Raw genomic sequence first — 20144 nt, forward strand, 5'->3', positions numbered from 1 at the left:
AGCAAGGAGGTCAGTAGCTGAAGCAGATTGAACAAAAGGGAGAGTAGTAACAAGAACAGTATCATATAAGGCCTGTAGCCCACTAACATCACTTTGACTTTAACTCTAAATAAAATAGAGGGCCTCTAGAACATATTGAGCACAGGAATGACATGACCTGACCTAAGTTTTTAAAAAATTACTCACGCTGCTATATTAAGGATAGACTATAGAGGATTAAAGTTATAAGCAGGGAAGTCAGATAGGACAATATTGCAGTAATTCAGGCAAAGTTTGATACTGGCTTTGAACAAAGTAATAGCAGTGGGAGTGGTCAGATTCTGGATATATTATGAAAGTAAGACAAATCAAATTTCTTGATTCATTGGGCAAATGGTAGGACAGAAAAAATGTAGTCAAGAGATTTGAGCACAAGCAACTAGAAAGAAGTAGTTGCCATCAACTGAGATGGAGAAGGCTAAGATGGGTGTGGGGGACCAAAGTTCCCTTTTGGTTATGTTGAATTTGAGATGTCCATTAATACCCAAGTAGAGATGTTGAATGCCAATATGGATTTTTGATTCTGGAGTTTGGAAAATAGGTCTAGGGAGTCCTTTGACTCATAGATGATATTTAAAGCGCAGAACTAGGTAAGAACTAGGAATGAGTGTGCATGCTTCAGCACACCTACTACAACTAGGGGTGAGTGTAAATATAGAGGAAGACTTAGGTTTGAGCTCTGGTGCACTCCAATGTTGGAAGGTAAGAAAGAAGGAACTGGCAAAGAAGAGTGAGAAGGAGCAAACACTGAAGAAAATCGAGAGAATGTGTCTTGGAAGACGAGGTAGTCACCTATGACCTATCGAAAGCTGCCAGTCAATCAAGTAAGATGAAGGCTAAGAGTCAGCCATTACATTTAGCAACCAGAAGTCACTAGTAACCTTGAAAAGAGCACTTTGAGTGGAGCGGGCATAAAAGAGAATGAGAAGAGAAGAAATGGAAACAATGAATTGAGCAATATCTAGCAGGGGAAGTAAGGCCAAGAGAAGTTTTTGCATGTGTCTTTTTTTTTTTTTTTTCATGGAAGAGACAGTAGTGTGACTTGTATGCTGATGAGAATGAGCCAATAGCAAACAAACAAACAAACAAGATTGCATATAGAGAAGGGCAAAAATTGTTGGTGCCTTGTCTTTAAGCACATAAGAGAGAGGAGATGGGAACTAGTTGGACATGTTGAGGGATTGACTTTTACTAAAGACAGTATATGTGAGTGCAAATGCTAGTAGAAAGGTATAAATGGTAGGGAATATTAGTATTAGAAAATAGAAATTGATGTACACACACACACACATATATTTTTTCAAGATGGGGTCTCACTCTCATCCAGGCTGGAGTGCAGTGGTGTGATCATGGCTCACTGCAGCTTCAGCCTCCTGGGCTCAAGTGATCCTCCCACCTCGGCCTCCCAAGTAGCTGGGACTGATGATGCATGCCACTACACCTGGCTAATTTTTTGTAGAGATGGAATTTTGCCATGTTGCCCAGGCTGATCTCAAGCTACTGGACTCAAGTGATCCATCCGCTTCAGCCTCCCAAAGTGCTGGGATTACAGATGCAAGCCATTTCACCCAGCCTTTTTAAAATATTTTTAATAAGTGTCACCAAATTGCCTTCTAGAATAGTTATACTAATTTTATATTCCCAACAATTTTTTATTTTTCTAAATCCTTATCAACACTGCATTGTGTTATCTTTTTTAATCTGAAAGGGAAATATTATATTCCCTCCAGTCTTTGCAGCTTCAATTCTGTCCCACACCATTTATGTCCAGAGACCTTGCTGGTTTGCAGAGAGACAAGAGTGGGTTGAGTGGCCTGAAGTAAAGGAATGTCAGCAAGTTGCAGTTCTCTTCGCATAACTGCTCCTTCCAATGATAAGTGAAGACATTCAGCCTGTACAGTTGTCAGCTAGCTATCAAATTCACTTTAAAATTTTAGAGATTAAAAGAGAAAAAGAAAAGGTAAATCAATGTGATTGATTGCTTTGTAAGCCAAGAAATAACATTGTTTATACTGTTAGTTTCTCCTGGTATAAGATACTACGGTGGTATATCTTATCCCTTGCATCACTTTTCTAAGTATTTTGAGGCGTAGCAAATTGGTGGAATGGGAAGCAAATAGCAAAACTGTAATCCCCTGCAGCTAATTCTCTATTGAAGAAACACAAGAGGCTGTCAAATGATAGAGTATTGACCTTACTTTGAATTGTGTAAATGAAAAGGACTAGAGGGAAGTGACATTATTTTATACCGCACACACTCAGCTTCACCTCCTCCTCTTTTTGAGGCTATAGTTCCTCCAAATGTGAACTTACAGGAAAAAAAAAACTGAGCCCCAAGTACTGTGTATTGTCATAGTTTACATTTATAGAGCACTGTGCCAGCTACTTTACATATGCTGTCTCCTTTACTCCACGTAAGAGCCTTGTGAATTATAGGTGTTATTATCCTCATTTTGTAGATGAGGAAACTGTGAAGTACACAAGTTAATAATCTGCTCAGATACCTAGATAGTAAGGAAAGATCTAGGATTCAGGCCAGGTCAGTATGAGTCAAAAGCCCACACTGTAAATCAGTACCTTCTGTACTATATGTTTATCTTCTGTTACAATATTATCTTATTATGTAGTTCTCCAGCTGAGGCCTGTGAAAGAAAGCCATTCTTCTTTGGGTAATGGGAGTCTCTTCTGAAGAGGAAGACATCCTGGAGTCAGTCACTCAGCAAAAAGGATGGGTCTCAGGAGAAAAAATAATTTTAAAAAAATACACCTGAGAGTCGGTCGCAGATGAGCAGGAGATGTGACATCTTCCTATGTGTATCCCTCTTTAAAAGTACATCTTGCAAGTTGTCTAGAAGGGTACTTCTGAGTGTTGGAAGCTAATAACAACAACAAAGTCCTCTCCATGAAGGACAGAGAGTGGAGGTGAAGAAGGAGAACCCCAAGCAGTTCTCTTAAGCTATTAATGAGGAAAATATTTCTAATAAGCCAAATTATGTAGATCAGGAATTATCTGTGCTCATTTCCTAGTTGTTTTCCCTCATTATTTAATGAGATTTCTTATACTGCTACAGCAAGTACAAGAGTAAGAATGGGAATTCCATAGTACTTGTGCCTCCATTCCCCGTTATTGCCTTTGGCCAGGTTAATCATTCAATTCACAGTATTCTTTTCCCCTGAGCCCCAACATAGCCTCAGCATCTATCTTACCCAGCTTACGGATGTTACAGTATCTTTTTCCCCTCCCCAAATTATGGCAAATGTACTCAGTGGGAAACAATTAGAGTTTTTCCTTTTAGTTCTAGCCTTTGAAAGTCTGTTTTATTTCAGTAAAGTATGATTTATTTGTGTGCTGCTACAGTAGTACCAAAGTAGCAGCTGTTACTGGTTTTAGTAGCTGCTAACCTGGCAATGCCATCATCTCCTAGCTGTCCATCAGTGCAATGTAGATCTCCCTCTTAGGAAGGAAATGCTGACAAGGAAGGAATAGAACTTTCTAGGTGTGGAGTGGAGCAGGGAGGACAAGGAGGGATATCATACCTAGAGAGGAAGATCAAAAGCAAACCTAAGCCCTGTCACTTTTGTTTATACTAATGTGAGTCTAACTCCTAGATTTTCAGCTTTTTGAGGGCAGGATCAACAATTTCAGTAAGTATTGCTGAATAATACATATTGAATAAAGCTGCATTCCAGTAAATAAATGGATAACATGGCCAAGCCTTCTTTTCCATGGTCTTTTATTATCGCCATGGAATGCTGAGGCACTTGAGCAAAATGAGGTAGTTTCCTATTTCAGAAGTATTCATCATTCTGTTGCAAGGTCAAAATAGTATATTAATTACTGTCTTAACCCATTTATGCCTAGTCTTCCATTATTAAGACGCTAAGCTTGTGGGAGTTATTTGTATCCTACTGCTCAAGGTCATCACCAAGGTCTGATTTTTCACACAAAAAAATTTGCAACCTTCGGCATAAATGGGTTAATACAGATGTATCTGACATAGTCCAAAAGGCAGGACATATATGCCAAATTGCAATATTAACATAGAGATAACAGTTATGATTCTAAATATTTCTTGATGATAGATTATGCAGTCCTTTACAGATTTTTTTTCCCAATCAGGCAGTTCTTGGCCTGCCTATTTCATCTGTTGCTACAGAATATAGGACCTTTCCTTTCCCTCTAAGGATATCAACATAAAAAGGCCCCAAAAGTTTTCTCACTTTTACCCTGGCCTTCCCAACAAACACAAAACCAGTGAAAATTACCAAAATTACCCTAGCTCTTTTCATCACATGGGTATACAGTGCTGTTCTTTCTTGGGAAGGGGAAGGAGGGAAAATGTCTAACCTTGGTTTAAATTGAATTTGAGGCAAAGGTAGAAAAACAGTGGTGTAGAACTGTTCTTTTCTGAAGTACCTGGCTTTCTTAGACCTTCATGCCTTTGCACTTCATCTACCCAGAGTACAGTCCTCTGTTTACAAGTCCATGTGGCAACTTCAATTATCCTTCAAACTTAGCCTGTTCTGTGAAGCCTTTCCCCCTGCCCTCCTGCCAAAGGAAAGTTAGTCTCTTTTTCTGTTCACATAACATCTTGACATACCTCTCTGATGGCATTTGTCACATTGTATGGAATTATTTATTTACAGATCGATTTCCCCCAACGGACTGAACTCCCTCAGGGCAGAGATTTTATTTTATTCATTTGTTTATACTAACACCTCACACATAGTAGCTGTTAAATAAATGCTGTCATATTGAGTTGAATCTTTATGCAACTATTGTTATCTCTCTAAGGTAAGTTACATTGAGATCATGAAAGAGGGTACAGAATTTGGTATTGAGTAAATTACCAGATATGCTTCAGCCTTCTAGACAGTGGTTTTGTCATTCAGATATATAAATTATAAGCAAAGTTATATGGACTTCTAAGGCTACACAGAAGAGAATATGCATATGGAAATGCTCCACATACATGGAACAGATCAAGGCAGATCAAGAAGAGGGAACCTTTACCCTGTGCTGGTCCTGTGTTTCATGCTCTGCTAGAAGTATTGGTCCTTCTTAACCTCTTAGTACACATGTGATTACCATAATATATATATGTCAGTCAAGCTTCAAACCAGGAAAAACAAGCATGATAATACTTTTGGAATGGATAACTTATTTTAGAAATTAGACCTTATACAATCTTAGGCAAAGATGGGGAAATAGGGCCAAAGTGGGGAGTTGGAGGTTCAGGGGAAAAATATCACTGATCAGCCCTCCTGAAATAATGGCATAGACAAGTTGGAATTTGCAGGGAAATCTAGAAACCAGGCACATTTAGGTGCTAGAGTGGAACTATGAAAGGATTAGGGGTGAGAAGGTAGCTGGTGTTATGGTATAGAAGTCAGTAGAAGGCTGTTGCGTCTGCATAGCTATTGCTTCTGTAAGTGTGCTACCACCTGTTTGGTGGTGGGCTTGGAGATATTGGTCAGCAGGGCTGGTAGTTCTAGACACAAACAGGACAAGGAAGAACAAGGACAAAGTGAAACCGAGCAGCATTTCTACCTGTTACTCTTACCACCTCTAACCACAGCAACCTTTAAAAAGTCATGGCAGCTACTCCACTCCCAGCATCCAAATCTCACACAAATGTCTCTTTTGGCCAATTCTAGCCCACAACCATAAAGGGAAGTGGATTCTAAGAAACTTAATTCTTGTTAGCTAAGTTGACACAGTGTAAGCCACTATATTATACTTCTAAATTTTGTAAATTGAATTTAGTTTCAATTTTAGAAGCAATACTCATTTGACCAGGAAAAAGCAGAGGTAAGAAACATATATTACTTTATATTTTTTTAAAACATTATCAAGTATTGCCTAGTAACATACTTACTAGCACACATTTCAGAAACAGAAATCATTGATTGTAAATGCTAACTGTACTACAGAAGATTTTAGGGTGATCATACAAACATTTCTTTGTCTTCTGATGGTCAACGCAGAATTTAAGTACAATTTTTAAAACAATCATCTCTTGAGATCTTCTGAAGAAGGATCTAAGAAGAAAAAGGAAGTAATATTTACTGTACACTGCACCAAGAACTTCTGTGTGTGTTATTTCATTGAATTCGTATACCAAACCTGTGAGGCTCCTAAAAATGAAGTAACTCAAGATCAAATTCATATAAAAGGTCAAAAATTTGCCGAGAATTTAGGGTAATTTACATCTCAGTCAGGTTATCTTTTTCTCTTGACTTAGTTTTATCCTACTTTTTAAAATTTTTTACTGACAGGATAACACATAGAGTAAAATGAATAGTCTTAAGAGTACAACTTAATGAAATTTTACATATCTATGTATACATCTGTGTAATCACCATGCAGATAAAAATATAGAGCTTTTCCAATATAAGGATATTGATTTTTCCTTGGGCCTTTTGTACTTCCAGGTAAACTGCCATATGTATTTATATTTTTTATTACAATGAATAAAAAAAAATTCTTAAAAATATGCTGGGAGGAAGTGAACATTAGCAGTAAAGTAAAAATGTTAAATAGTGTGTCCCATAACTACTTTGAATGACATCTACTTATGTCACTTTCTGCTTTTATCCTGAAACAGGTAATCAGATCCTGTCCCTTGGGAGCCTCTCAAAAGATCAGATTTATCCAATGAAACTCAAGGGCATCTCCATCTGCTATTCAGCTCTCAAGTCTGCCTTGTGTGGAAATTATGTCAGCTTTGGCGTCTTCAAGTTGTATGGGGACAACCATTTTGACAATGTACTCCAGGCTTTTGTCAAAATGCTGCTGTCAGTGTCCCACAGTGACTTGCTAGTAAGCAATCATGCATCATGGGAGTGTTTGTATGAAATGTGAAGTAACACCACCACAGGCCTGGAAGTGTTATAATGAAGCCCAGGGAGTTAGCCTAGAACATTTTATGTTTTAAGACAGCATACTTGATCTAACTTACAGAATTTGGAAAACTATAGTGGCTTTTTTTTTTTTTTAGCATCTCTGCCTGATTATATAGAAACCAATATGTGCCCAATGTAGTAGCAGTAATTACTTGAGTAACATAGCCAAATCATGCTTAGGCTTAGTTCAGGCTTTCCCACCTGCTCCCACTCAAGGTTACAAGTAAAATCTGGAAGGCCTTTGTTAGTCAACCTGTGTAAGAAATGCTTCTTGATCTCCTAGTGGACTAGTGCATCATCTTCCACCTTTATAAACTAATCTTGGAATGGCTGCATCTCAAGCCAAAGAGAGGACTTCCTTGTAGTAGAATGGAATGATCATTGAAGGATATGTCTGTTAGACAGAAATTACAAAGTAGAAACTTGAGTCAAATCAGCCATATGTTAAAATCACCTCATCAAAGAGTTACTTCACTACAGTTAAAGTCCACCAAGACAACTGGTATGGTTCCAAGAATTTTTCTCTAATTTTTTTATTCTAATAGTCAAACAAACCTTCAACTCAGTAATTCTCCAACTTGAAGGTGCATAAGACTCTCTTAACGTGTGTTAAAAATATACATTTCAGAGCCTACACTAGAGCTTGTCATTTAGCGAGTCTGAAGTGGGGATCAGGAAACTGCGTTTTTAACAAGCACCCCAAGTGATTCCTATTGAGTTGGTCTTAACATCACTTTAAGAAATGCTCCTCTGGTTTCTCTTTTTTTCTTTTTTTTTTTTTAGAGGCAGGGTCTTGCTGTGTTGCCCAGCCTGTTCTTAGACTCCTGGGCTTAAGCAATTCTCCTGCCTCAGCCTCCCAAGTAGCTGGAATTACCAGCATGAACCTCCATGCCCAGCTTCTCTAATTTATCTTACAAGTGTGTTTCTTTGATACTGGTTTGGATTGCATTTGAGATTTTTCAGGTATCTTTCTCATGCACTTATCTTTTGCCTGTAGTGTATGGTAAATATTAAGCCCTTTACCAAATTATTATTTAGTTAGATGGATTAGCATTATATTAATACAACAGACTATGGTGCCAAATCCCATTATAACAGCAAATGTCTTTGTGTTTAAAAAACCAACAAAAAAAAGGTTTCCTAGCGACTGTTAAGCACTGTTCAGTGTTACAGTATTCCAATCCAGAAAAATAATTCACACAGTCTTCTAAATATCGTACTGCAGGGATTTTACTTTTAAGTGCTAACCATATAAGGTAAAGAGATCAAGCGATTCCTATCAGAACCCCTTTAAATGCTGGATTGGGACTCATTATGTCATTTGCTCTATATATTTATTGACCTTGTGTTTAAATAAGTTTACAATTTCCAGTATTATAAATGACAATTTTCACTGGACTGTAACATGTATTTTTCTTCTCTGTGGCTTGACATTTAGTATATCTCTGTGTTGTAGCAATACCGGAAACTGAGCCAGTCTTATTATCCACTCCTGGAATGTCTCACTCAGGACCATATGAGCTTCATCATCAACTTAGAGCCTCCTGTACTCATGTATGTTCTCACATCTATCTCAGAGGGACTCACTACTCTTGGTAAGGATCATAGAGGACATTGTTTCCATAGGAAAAACTTGATTATGGGCTTTTAATGTATGTGATTATTGAGACTATCATCCTACAAAGGGGGAAAAGATATTGTGAACCCAAACTGAAAGATTATAATTATTACTTGCAAGTGGGAAAAATGTATTTCTTCATATTTTGATACATAGTCAGTTATGTTTTAATCAGCTTTACTGAGGTATAATTTACATACAATAAAATTCAGTGACTTTAAGTGGATAGTTCAGTGAGTCCTTGTACAAATGTGTACATGTACACAAACATAACCACCACGACCAATATGTAGCACATTTTTATCACCACAAAAAGCTCCTTTTTTTCCTCCTTCTAATCAATCCCTTCCCCCTACCTCTCACCCCAGGAAACTAATGCTTTCTCTCACAATAGTTTTCTTTTCCAGAATTACATTCAAGTGGAATTGTATAATATGAAGTTATTTGCATCTGGCTTCTTTCATTTAGCATAGTGACTTTGAGATTCATTCATGTTATTTTGAAAATCAATTAGTTTATTCCTTTCTATTGCTGAGTATTATTCCATTGTATGTATTATTAGTTTGTTTATTCACCAGCTGATGGACATTTGGGTTACTTTCATTATTTGACTATTTTGAATACAGCTATTATGAACATTCCTATACAAGTATTTATGTAGGTAAATTTTTTTTATTTCTCTTGGGTACATACCTAGAAGTGGGATTTCTAGGTTATATGCTAAGTGTATTTTTAACATTATAAGAAACTAACAAACTGTTTCCCAGAGTGACAGTGACAGCATTTTGCTGTCACCAACAGTATATGAGGATTCCAGTTGCTCTGTATACTCACTAACATTATTAACATCTTTTTCATCTTAGCCATGATAGTGGGTGTGAAGTAGAATCTTCAAGTTGACTAATCTTTTCTTCTGTGATACCTAATATTCTATTAATACTGTATTTGGGGCTGGGCGCGGTGGCTCAGCCTGTAATCCCAGCACTTTGGGAGGCTGAGGCGGGTGGATCACCTGAGATCAGGAGTTCAAGACCAGCCTGGCCAACATGGTGAAGCCCCATCTCTATTAAAAATACAAAAAAAAATTAGCCAGGCATGATGGTGGGCGCATATAATCCCAACTACTCAGGAGGCTGAGGCAGGAGAATCACATGCACCCAGATGCACCCAGGAGGCAGAGGTTGCAGTGAGCCGAGACTGCACCATTGCACTCAGCCTGGGCAACAAGAATGAAATTCTGTCTCAAAAAAAATATTAAAAGATTTTAGCTGGGCACGGTGGCTCATGCCTGTAATTCTAGCATTTGGGGAGGCCAAGGCAGGTGGATCACCTGAGGTCAGGAGTTCAAGCCTAGGTTGGCCAACATGGTGAAACCCTGTCTCTACTGAAAATACAAAAAATTAGCCAGGTGTGGTGGTGTGCGCCTGTAGTCCCAGCTACTCGGGAGGCCAAGGCAGGAGAATCACTGAGGATGCAATAAGCCAAGATCGCACCACTGCACTCCAGCCTGGGCAACGAACGAAACTCCATCTCAAAAACAAAAAAAGGAACTGTATTTGTTTTCATTTTAGACATTATATTTTTATTCTCTAGAATTATTTTTTATTTATTTATTTATTTTTAGACAGAGTCTGACTCTGTTGCCCAGGCTGGAGTGCAGTGATGCAATCTCATCTTACTGCAACCTCCACCTCCCAGGTTCAAGCAATTATTGTGCCTCAGCCTCCCAAGTAGCTGAGATTACAGGCTTGCGCCATCATACCCAGCTAATTTTTATATTTTTAGTAGAGATAGGGTTTTGCCATGTTGGCCAGGCTGGTCTTGAACTCCTGACCTCAAGCGATACACCCACCTCGGCCTCCCAAATCACTGGGATTACAAGCATGAACCCCCATGCCTGGACTTCAATATTTTAATATTGAATTTTTAAATATTTTCCATTTTCCCCTCATCAGGTTTATGTTTTTTTAACATTGATCATATGTATAAGATTTATAATAGGCCAGGCGCGGTGGCTCACGCCTGTAATCCCAGCACTTTGGGAGGCCGAGCTGGGCGGATCACGAGGTCAGGAGATTGAGACCATCCTGGCTAACACAGTGAAACCCCGTCTGTACTAAAAATACAAAAACAAAATTAGCCGGGCTTGGTAGCGGGCACCTGTAGTCCCAGCTACCCAGGAGGCTGAAGCAGGAGAATGGCGTGCACCTGGGAGGCGGAGCTTGCAGTGAGTCAAGATCATGCCACTGCACTCCAGCCTGGGCAACAGAGCAAGACTCTGTCTCCAAAAAAAAAAGATTTTTAATAGCTGTTTTAAGGTCCTTGTCTACTGATGTGATTTCTGGATCTGTTCCTATGGATTTTTCTCCTTATGGGTCATGTTTTTTTCATTCTTAATATAACTTGTTATTTTTGAATGTGTGCCAGACATCATGAATTTTACATGTTGAATTTTATTTCTGTGCTAGATTTTGGTTTTTATTTTTTGGAGACAGAGCTTCGCTCTTGTTGCCCAGGCTGGAGTGCAACAGCACAATCTCAGCCCACTGCAACCTCCGTCTCCCGGGTTCAAGTGTTTCTCCTGCCTCAGCCTCCTGAGTAGCTGGGATTACAGGCATGCACCACCACACCCAGCTAATTTTGTTTTTTTAGTAGAGACGGGGTTTCTCCATGTTGGTCAGGCTGGTCTCGAACTCCCGACCTTGGATGATCCTCTTGCCTCAGCCTCCCAAAGTGCTGGGATTATAGGCATGAGCCACTGCACCCAGCCAATTTTGATTTTTTTAATGTGGATTTTATTCTATCCTGCAGTTGAATAACTTTTGGATCAGTTTGACTCATTTGAGATCGGATGGCAACTCTTATTTTGGAGTAACTGGGCCCCACCACTAAAGTGTTAACCTTATGACATTCCAGTGCTCCATGTGTTATGAAGTTCCTCCACAAATGACTTCCAGCTTGTAATCTTCAGGAATTATTTGGCCTATTGCTTTTCAGTGGTTCTTTACCCAGCCTTGGGAGTTTCTTCTCATACTTTTTTTTTTTTTTTTTTTGAGATGGAGTCTCGCTCCATCGCCCAGGCTGGAGTGCAGTGGCATGATCTCGGCTCACTGCAACCTCCGCCTCCTGGGTTCAAACAATTCTTCTACCTCAGCCTCCCAAGTACCTGGGATTACAGGCATGTGCCACCACGCCTAGCTAATTTTTTTGTATTTTTAGTAGAGACAGGGTTTCACCTTGTTGGTCAGGCTGGTCTCAAACTCCTGACCTCAAGTGATCCACCCACCTCAGCCTCCGAAAGTGCTGGGATTACAGGTGTGAGCCACCGCACCCGGCCTTTTCTCATACTTTTATAAGTCACTGTTCAGACAAACACTGGAGAGGACTCCCTTGGAGAGCTGTAGAACTCTCTTACGTAGGTCCCACACTCTGGTACTCTGTACTACAAGTTTTAGCTGCTTTAGCCTTCCCAGATTTCAACCTTTTATTCTCCAACTCAGTGAGCCTGTTTGGCTTTGTTTGGGTTTTCCCTTTACTAGCCTGCAATCTGGAAACTGCTCTGGGCAGTAAACTTGAGCAATTGTTTTCCTCCTCTCTGGTTTAATGATCCTGTACTGCTTGTTGTACAATAATTGAAAACCATTGTTTCGTATAATTTGTCCTGTTTTCTAGTTGTTTGGCAGGAGGGCAAATTCTCATAGCAGTTAATTCTTCATGGAATAAGAAGAAATTCTGTCTTCTATTATTACAGTTTGGCTGGACATTCTTTTATCTTACATCATAGTAATACTTGAAGATTTTGAATTAGTTTCAGTTAGCTATGTTATTTTCAACATGTGATCTTGTTAAGACTTAGAATCTGCATTTTAACAGACTTTCAAGGGCATCTTGACAAAGTGGCATTACGAAGGGAATACTGAACTTGGATTTAAGTCCCAGCACTACCACTTACTACTTGTGTGACCATGGGCACATGTGGTGTGCCTGCTGCTGTCATAGGTGTTTCATGTGGATACTTGACTCTCTTCATTCTCAGAACCATTTGTATACCAAAAGCAGGTTAGGTACTCTAAGAGCACTCTTTATTCTTATATTCTACTTGGTTGTAAGCTTCTGAAGGGCAGAAACAGTGTCTTACTCACTATTTCCAGCTCCTAGCATTATAGTAAGTGTTCGATAAATATTTACTGAATGCATTAATTAGATAATATTATTTTCATTATACAGATGAGGTAAGCTGTGGCTCAGAGAGGTGAAACAATTTGCCTAAGATCATAAAACTAATAAGTGAATGACCTAGGAATCATTCAAACTCTAAAACCCCTTCTTCCTCACCACACTACCCTGCTAGATCTACCTGATAAAGGTCACAGCTTTGACAGCTAGAGGCCTGGTAGAGATTATTTTCTTTGTACATATTGGTGGTTTATCTTCAGCCTCTTGTATTGTTGCAGATTCACATTGTAACCACTGGATAACTCTAGCAGGTGAATTTGGGCCCTGTGTCATCAAGAAAGGGGACTATTTAGAATGTTGAAAGTAACTACTTGAATTTTTCCTTTCCCAACAATGATATATTTTAAAAAGAGGAATTTATTGGTATTGTTTGGACTACAGGCAGGTTTAATTTCTATTGTTGCCTTGATGGAAAAAATAAGGAGGTACAGAAAAGTTGAATCAGTGATAGAGTGATGACTTGCCGAATATTCCAAAAATGATACAAAAAATTTTAGTTAATTTCATTCATTAGCATTTTTAATTTCATGCTATCTTTTTAATCATCCATCCATTCTCTGCCCACCCCAACCCGCAACTCTTATGCACAGACACCAAGCACAGTGTCTTCAAAAAGCTGCTCTTACTAATGGCTCTGAACTCCTTCATTCAGTAATTATCAGTTGTGCATATACTATGTACCAAGTACCTTTCTAAACCTTGGCAGTACTGAAGGGAACAAGACAGATAAGATTCCTGCCCACATGAAAGCTTGCATTCTAGTGGGAAGAGATAAGCAATAATTGAACAAACAAATACACATGCCAAAAAAATCAAATCATTATATGCGCTAAACAAAGAATTAAAATGGGGTGGTGGAAAAAGAATAAGTCAAGATGGCTGACTGAAGACATCAGACATCTGCCCTCTCCCAAAAGAAGAACCAAAATTATGAATAGATAATCTTATACCTCGAATAGAACATCTAGAAGAGAAGACTAGAGTCCTATAAAGAACTCACAGGAAGGCTGGGCGCGTTGGCTAACGCCTGTAATCTCAGCACTTTGGGAGGCAGAGGCGGGCAGATCACGAGGTCAGGAGATTGAGACCATCCTGGCTAACACGGTGAAACCTCGTCTCTACTAAAAATACAAAAAAATTAGCTGGGCGTGGTGGCGGGCGCCTGTAGTCTCAGCTACTCGGGAGACTGAGGCAGGAGAATGGCATGAACCCGGGAGGTGGAGCTTGCAGTGAGCCGAGATCATGCCACTGCACTCCAGCCTGGGCAACAGAGCGAGACTCCATCTCAAAAAAAAAAAAAAAAAGAACTCACAGGAAACATTTAAGGCACAGAAAGAGAAGGAAGCAAGCAGCCAGCTCGGCCAAGATTGGCCAGAAAGCCCAGAGGGGCTCAGTATTGCAGAGAAAAGGGTAAATGAGAGAACTTAGGCAGTCCACGTGCCTGCCACAGACTACTGCAATCTAAACCACATGAAAGCTTTTCTACCCTTATGAACTCAACATTAACATGAGCAGTGATTTGAAGACCCTGTAAAGGCATTGCACCAGCCAGGGAACTGGTGCTGGGTCACTCACCCTTCCAGACCTGAAAAGGTGCAGCAGGGTACCATTTGAAGAGTGCAGCCATCACAGGACTGCATCTGCCCCTGGAAACCACAGCCCTTGTATCTCCACATCCTGAGAATTCCTGCTGACATTCCCCAGTGTCCACCCAGAGAGCTGCACTCACCCAGCCTGCACCACTCAAGACCCAAAGGGTCATCCTACCACTGCTACTTCCATCACCCATGCCACGTGGGCCACCCAAGGACCCTAGAATCTGCTCGCCCACCCAGCCCACCGCTGCTACTACCAGCATATGTGCAAGCCACCTGGAGGCCCAAGAATCAGCTTGCCCATAACTGCCAACACAAGTGCCAGCCTATACTACCCTGGGGCACAAAGACAGGCACGTTCATCCCACCATTGCCACCACTGGGCCTGAAGACTGAGACCTGCCTGGTTTCCCAGCTCCCAGCACAAAATTTGCCACAGCTTCCACTAATAACTGCACCCTAACCCTCCAAGAAAGTTACAGAAAGCACTAATGCTACTTACAACCAAAGAAATAATACTACACTACTATACTACTGCATACATCCACAATCAAAGCCAAAGTGCCCTACCCAACCAATACCACAGATACTTCTTCAGGAAAAATGCCTCCCCTATGAAAGTAAATTCAAAAACAAGAAAAAGTGACTGTTAAACTGGATGTACAGATATCAACATAAGGCCACAGGAAACATGAAAACAAGAAAATATGACACCTCCCAAGGAACACAGTAATTCTCCAGCAATAGATCTTACTCAAAAAGAAATTTTCAAAATCCCAGATAAAGAATTCAAAATACTGATTTTAAAGCAGCTCAGTGTGTTATAAGAGAAATCTGAAAAACAATACAAATACAATTCAGGATATGAATGGGAACATTACCAAAGAGATTTAAATAAATAAATAAATAGAAATTCTGGAACTGAAGAATTCATTGAGGGAAATACAAAATACATTTGAAAGCTTCAATAGTTGGCTAGATCAGGCAGAAGAAAGAATCTCAGAACTTGAAGACAGGACTTTTTCAAATAATCCAGTCAGACAAAAAAAATTTGAAAGAAAAAGAATGAACCAAGCCTTCATGACATATGAAACAACATAAAGTGATTGAATATTCAAATTGCCAGCATCCATGAGAACAGAGACAAAGGATTAGAAAGCCCATTTACAGAAATAATAGATGAAAATTTCCCATTTATTACAAGAAATGTAGACATTCACATACAGGAAACTCAGTGATCCCTAGGAAGATACAATGCAGAAGGGTCTTTTCCATGGTACATTATAGTCAGAATATCTATAGTAAAACTTAAAGAGCAAATCCTTAAAACTGCAAAAGAAAAGCATCTAGTTACCTATAAAAGGAACCCCATCAGGCTAACAGTGGATTTCTCAGGAGAAGCTTTACAGGCCAGAAGACAATGGAATGATACATTCAAAGTACAGAAAGAAAAACTGGCCAAGAATACTACATCCAGTAAAATTAACCTTTGTAAATGAAGGAGATATAAAGTCTTTCCAAGAGAAGCAAATGCTAAGGGAATTTGTTTGTTACCACTAGACTGCAGCCACAAGAAATGCTCAAGGGAGTCCTAAACCTGAAAACAAAGGATGACATTTACCATCATGAAAACACACAAGAGTTTAAAATTCACTAGTAAAGCAATCACACAAAGAGAAGAAAGGACTAAAATGGTACCACGACAGAAATTCACCAAACCACAATTAGTAAGAGAAAAAGATGGGAAAAAAGAATATGTAAAACAACCAGAAAACAATTAACAATATGACAGGAACAAACCTTCACATATCAGTAATAGCCTTGAACATAAATGGATTTAAATTATCCAGTTAAAAAGATATAGAATGGCTGAACTGATTTAAAAAAAAAATTTGATCCAACTATATACTGCTTACAAGAAACTCACCTTGGCAGTAAACACATATAGAGTGAAAGTAAAGAGAAGGAAAAAGATAATCCACACAAACAAAAAACAAAAGCGAACAGGAATAGCTACCCTTGTATCAGATAAAACCGACTTTATATCAAGAAAAGGGGAAAAAAGACAAAGAAGGTCATTATATAATGATAAAGGGATCAATCCAGCAAGAGACTATAGCAGTTCTAAATATGTATGTACCCAACACTGGAACACCTGGATTCCTAAAATGACTAAATTTGAAGAGACACACTACAATATAATAATAGTGGAGGACTTCAACATGCCACTGTCAGCATTAAACAGATCATCTAGACAGGAAGTCAACAAAGACACTTTGCATTTAAACTGGACTTTAGACCACATGGAATTAACAGAGCTACAGAATCTACTCAACTACAGAATATACATTCTTTTCATCGGAACATGGAACATTCTCTAGGATAGACCATATGTTAAGCCACAAAACAGGTCTCAACAAAAATTTTTTTTAGAGACAGGGTCTCACTCTGTCACCCAGGCTGGAGCACAGTGGCGTGGTCATGGCTCAGTGCAGCCTTGTGTTCCCAAGCTCAAGCAATTCTCCTGCCTTAGCCTCCCAAGTAGCTGGGACTACAGGCATGTGCCACCATGCCCAGCTTTTTTTTTTAGAGACAGGTTTTTGCTATGTTGTCCAGGCTGGTCTCAAACTCCTGGGCTCAAGCAATCTGCTCACCTTGGCCTCCTAAAGTGCTGGAATTACAGGCATGAGCCACCGCACCTGGCCCAACAAATTTTTAAAAATTGAAATCATATCAGGTATCTTCTCAGACCACAGTGGAATAAAACCAGAAATCAATACCAAGAGGAACTTGGAAACTATACAAATAAATGGAAATTAAAGAACACGCTCCCGGATAATCATTGGGTCAATGTAAAATTATAGTGGAAAAAAAAAAAAAAAACTTCTTGAAACAAATGAGAATGGAAACACAACATACCAAAACCTGTGGGATATAGTAAAAGCAGTGCTAAGAAGGAAGTTTATAGGCTTGAGCGCCGGTGGCGACGAAGGCAGTGGCGGCCCAGCGGGCTCAGTGTGTGGGTCCGTGGCGGCTCGGGGTCCACCCGCGGGCTGCGGTGCGAGCAGGTGGCCCCGTTCCCCTCCTCCCGCGCCCGCCCCCGCCTCTGTGATTGGGTGGAAGATGGTGCTGGCCGGATGTAAATCCTAATGACAGTCTCCAAATTCGCTTCCATCTGTACCATGAGTGCCAATGCTTCGGCATTAGAGAAGGAGATTGGTCCAGAACAGTTTCCAGTGAATGAGCACTATTTTGGATTAGTCAGTTTTGGGAATACCTGCTACTGCAATTCAGTTCTTCAAGCACTTTATTTTTGTCGTCCATTTCGGGAAACAGTTCTTGCATAGAAGAGTCAACCTAGGAAAAAGGAGAGCCTTCTTACATGCTTAGCAGATCTCTTCCATAGCATAGCCACTCAGAAGAAAAAGTTGGAGTAATACCTCCCAAGAAGTTCATCACAAGATTACAGAAAGAAGATGAGCTTTTTGACAACTACATGCAACAAGATCCCCCATGAATTCTTAAATTACCTACTAAATACAATTGCTGATATTTTACAAGAAGAGAGAAAGCAAGAAAAACAAAATGGCCGCTTACCTAATGGTAATATTAATAATGAAAATAATAACAGCACCCCAGACCCAATGCGGGTTCATGAGATTTTTCAGGGAACATTAACTAATGAAACCAGATGTCTTACTTGTGAAACTATGAGCAGCAAAGATGAAGATTTTTTAGACCTGTCTGTTGACGTGGAACAAAATACATCAATTACTCACTGCTTAAGGGCTTTCAGCAACACAGAAACCCTATGCAGTGAGTACAAGTATTACTGTGAAGAGTGTCGCAGCAAACAGGAAGCACACAAACGGAGGAAAGTTTAAAAACTGCCCATGATTCTAGCTCCACACCTGAAGAGATTTAAATATAAGGATCAACTTCATCGATTTACAAAACTCTCTTACCAGGTAGTTTTTCCTTTAAAACTTAGTCTATTTAACACTTCAGGTGATGCCACCAATCCAGACAGAATGTACAGCCTTGTTGCTGTTGTGGTTCACTGTGGAAGACTTATTTGTAGACTTGCTTCATATGAAAGTGTGGAGGGTGTGTGCAGCCTCATTGTCAGCATTGGTCCCAGTCGAGGCCATTGTATTGTAATAGTTAAGAGTCATGATTTTTGGTTGTTGTTTGATGACGACATTGTAGAAAAAATAGATGCACAAGCTATTGAAGAAGTCTACGGGCTGACATCAGATATCTCAAAGAACTCTGAGTCTGGTTACATCCTTTTCTATCAGTCTCGGGATTGAGGGGGAACCGTGATGAAGAGATACTTTCTGCCGCATTTCTTCTCTGGTTATTTTGGAAAGGATCAAGCACTGATTTTTCAAGAAAAGAGAAAATGCAGGAAGCTCTGGGGGCAGTAGCACACTTTGCACACGATAAAGCAAAGACGATGGATTGACAAGCCCTTCCGATCACAGTAGTTGATTTATTTGCTCAGGTATCATGCTGTCTGTACAGTTCCATTCAACAAGGAGGTGAAATCAGAGATACCAGTTCCTCTTGTAAAACAGCCTTCCAGTATTAACATGCATTTTCTCTTTATTAATTGCACCAATAATGCCATGAATTCCTTGGGGGTGCAGTAGAAAGAATCGGAATCTGTGCTGTACTGATAAGGAGATGATGTTGAACACACTGCATAAATTTGCCTGGTTCAGTATGTATAGAAGCATATTCAGTGGTCTTTTCAAGAGTAAACCAGAAACACTTTTGGGCCCAACACTTGCAGTTGCCTTCCTGATGTAAAAACTAACATGCTAGATAATCCAGTGTCAGGAAGACAAAGATGTTTTGGTTCTCTGAAGAAGCTTATAATAATACATGTAGGGAGCAATTGGTCAAAAGTGGCTTTTTGTTTCCCCAAGGGGAAAGACTGGCTTTGTAATCATAATTTTTTCCTTATTTATTTTACTTAAAACTGGTAGAGTCTAAGTATTGTATGAAGTGCCCATGATTCTGTCAGTAAATTTGAGCATATTTTTATTAGTTAATGTCAGTTTAAGTAGTCCTTTTGTTTGTTTCTATTTTTAAGGTGAATTTTAAATTATATCTGAAATCAGTAAGATACCTTGAGAAAAACTGCAATGAGAGGAGGTAAATATCCTTTTTCAGGAGGAACTGATATCTCTGGCCAAATATTTGTCCTTTTATTATGGTTTCTAAATCAGTTATTTTCTTCAGCTTTAATTTCATAAAATTAAAAAACTATAAAAAATATTCCTGGCTAGGCGCGGTGGCTCACGCCTATAATCCCAACACTTTAGGAGGCCGAGGCGGGTGGATCACGAGGTCAGGAGATCGAGACCATCCTGGCTAACACGGTGAAACCCAGTCTCTACTAAAAATACAAAAAATTAGCCGGGTGTGGTGGCATGCGCCTGTAGTCCCAGCTACTTGGGAGGCTGAGGCAGGAGAATCACTGGAACCTGGGGGGCGGAGGTTGCAGTGAGACGAGATCATGTCACTGAACTCCAGCCTGGGCAACAGAGCGAGACTCTGTCTCAAAAAAAAAAAAAAAAAAATTCCTGTAGTTGTTGGAATAATTAAAAATTCTAGTGCAGTGGTGGTATACCAATCTTTAGAATTCTTAAGTATTCTAATGTTCCAAGTTGAGGTCATGCTTGGGAAAATCATGTCATAGCATTTATGTTATTTTCAGATGTCATTTTTTTACCCTGGAA

At 39.5% G+C, this 20144-nt stretch overlaps 1 protein-coding gene and 1 pseudogene across 13 annotated transcripts in view, besides 1 other annotated feature; both read left to right on the top strand.

Moving 5' to 3' along the window:
* RANBP17 (RAN binding protein 17) overlaps positions 1–20144 on the top strand; it is a 437998-nt gene that overhangs the window by 372263 nt on the left and 45591 nt on the right. For all 13 annotated transcript variants that reach the window (XR_007058628.1, XM_011534627.2, NM_022897.5 and 10 more), the window contains 2 exons: positions 6648–6862; positions 8402–8540. Coding sequence is in view for 12 of the 13 variants with exons in the window: in XM_011534627.2 (XP_011532929.1) it covers positions 6648–6862; positions 8402–8540 (354 nt within the window). In the remaining variant the exon portion in view is untranslated. The remainder of the gene's footprint in view (positions 1–6647; positions 6863–8401; positions 8541–20144) is intronic.
* Positions 5306–6505: an enhancer, noted in NCBI's record as "BRD4-independent group 4 enhancer chr5:170666590-170667789 (GRCh37/hg19 assembly coordinates)". NCBI's record gives its function as "activates an origin of replication core promoter dependent on BRD2, P300/CBP, MED14 and CDK7 cofactors, and independent of BRD4, by STARR-seq in HCT116 cells {active_cell/tissue: HCT116}" and the evidence as "EXISTENCE:reporter gene assay evidence [ECO:0000049][PMID:35650434]".
* On the top strand, positions 17363–19686 carry USP12P1 (USP12 pseudogene 1; annotated as a pseudogene).

This window comes from Homo sapiens, chromosome 5 (genome assembly GCF_000001405.40).
Source record: "Homo sapiens chromosome 5, GRCh38.p14 Primary Assembly".
NCBI lineage: Eukaryota > Metazoa > Chordata > Mammalia > Primates > Hominidae > Homo > Homo sapiens.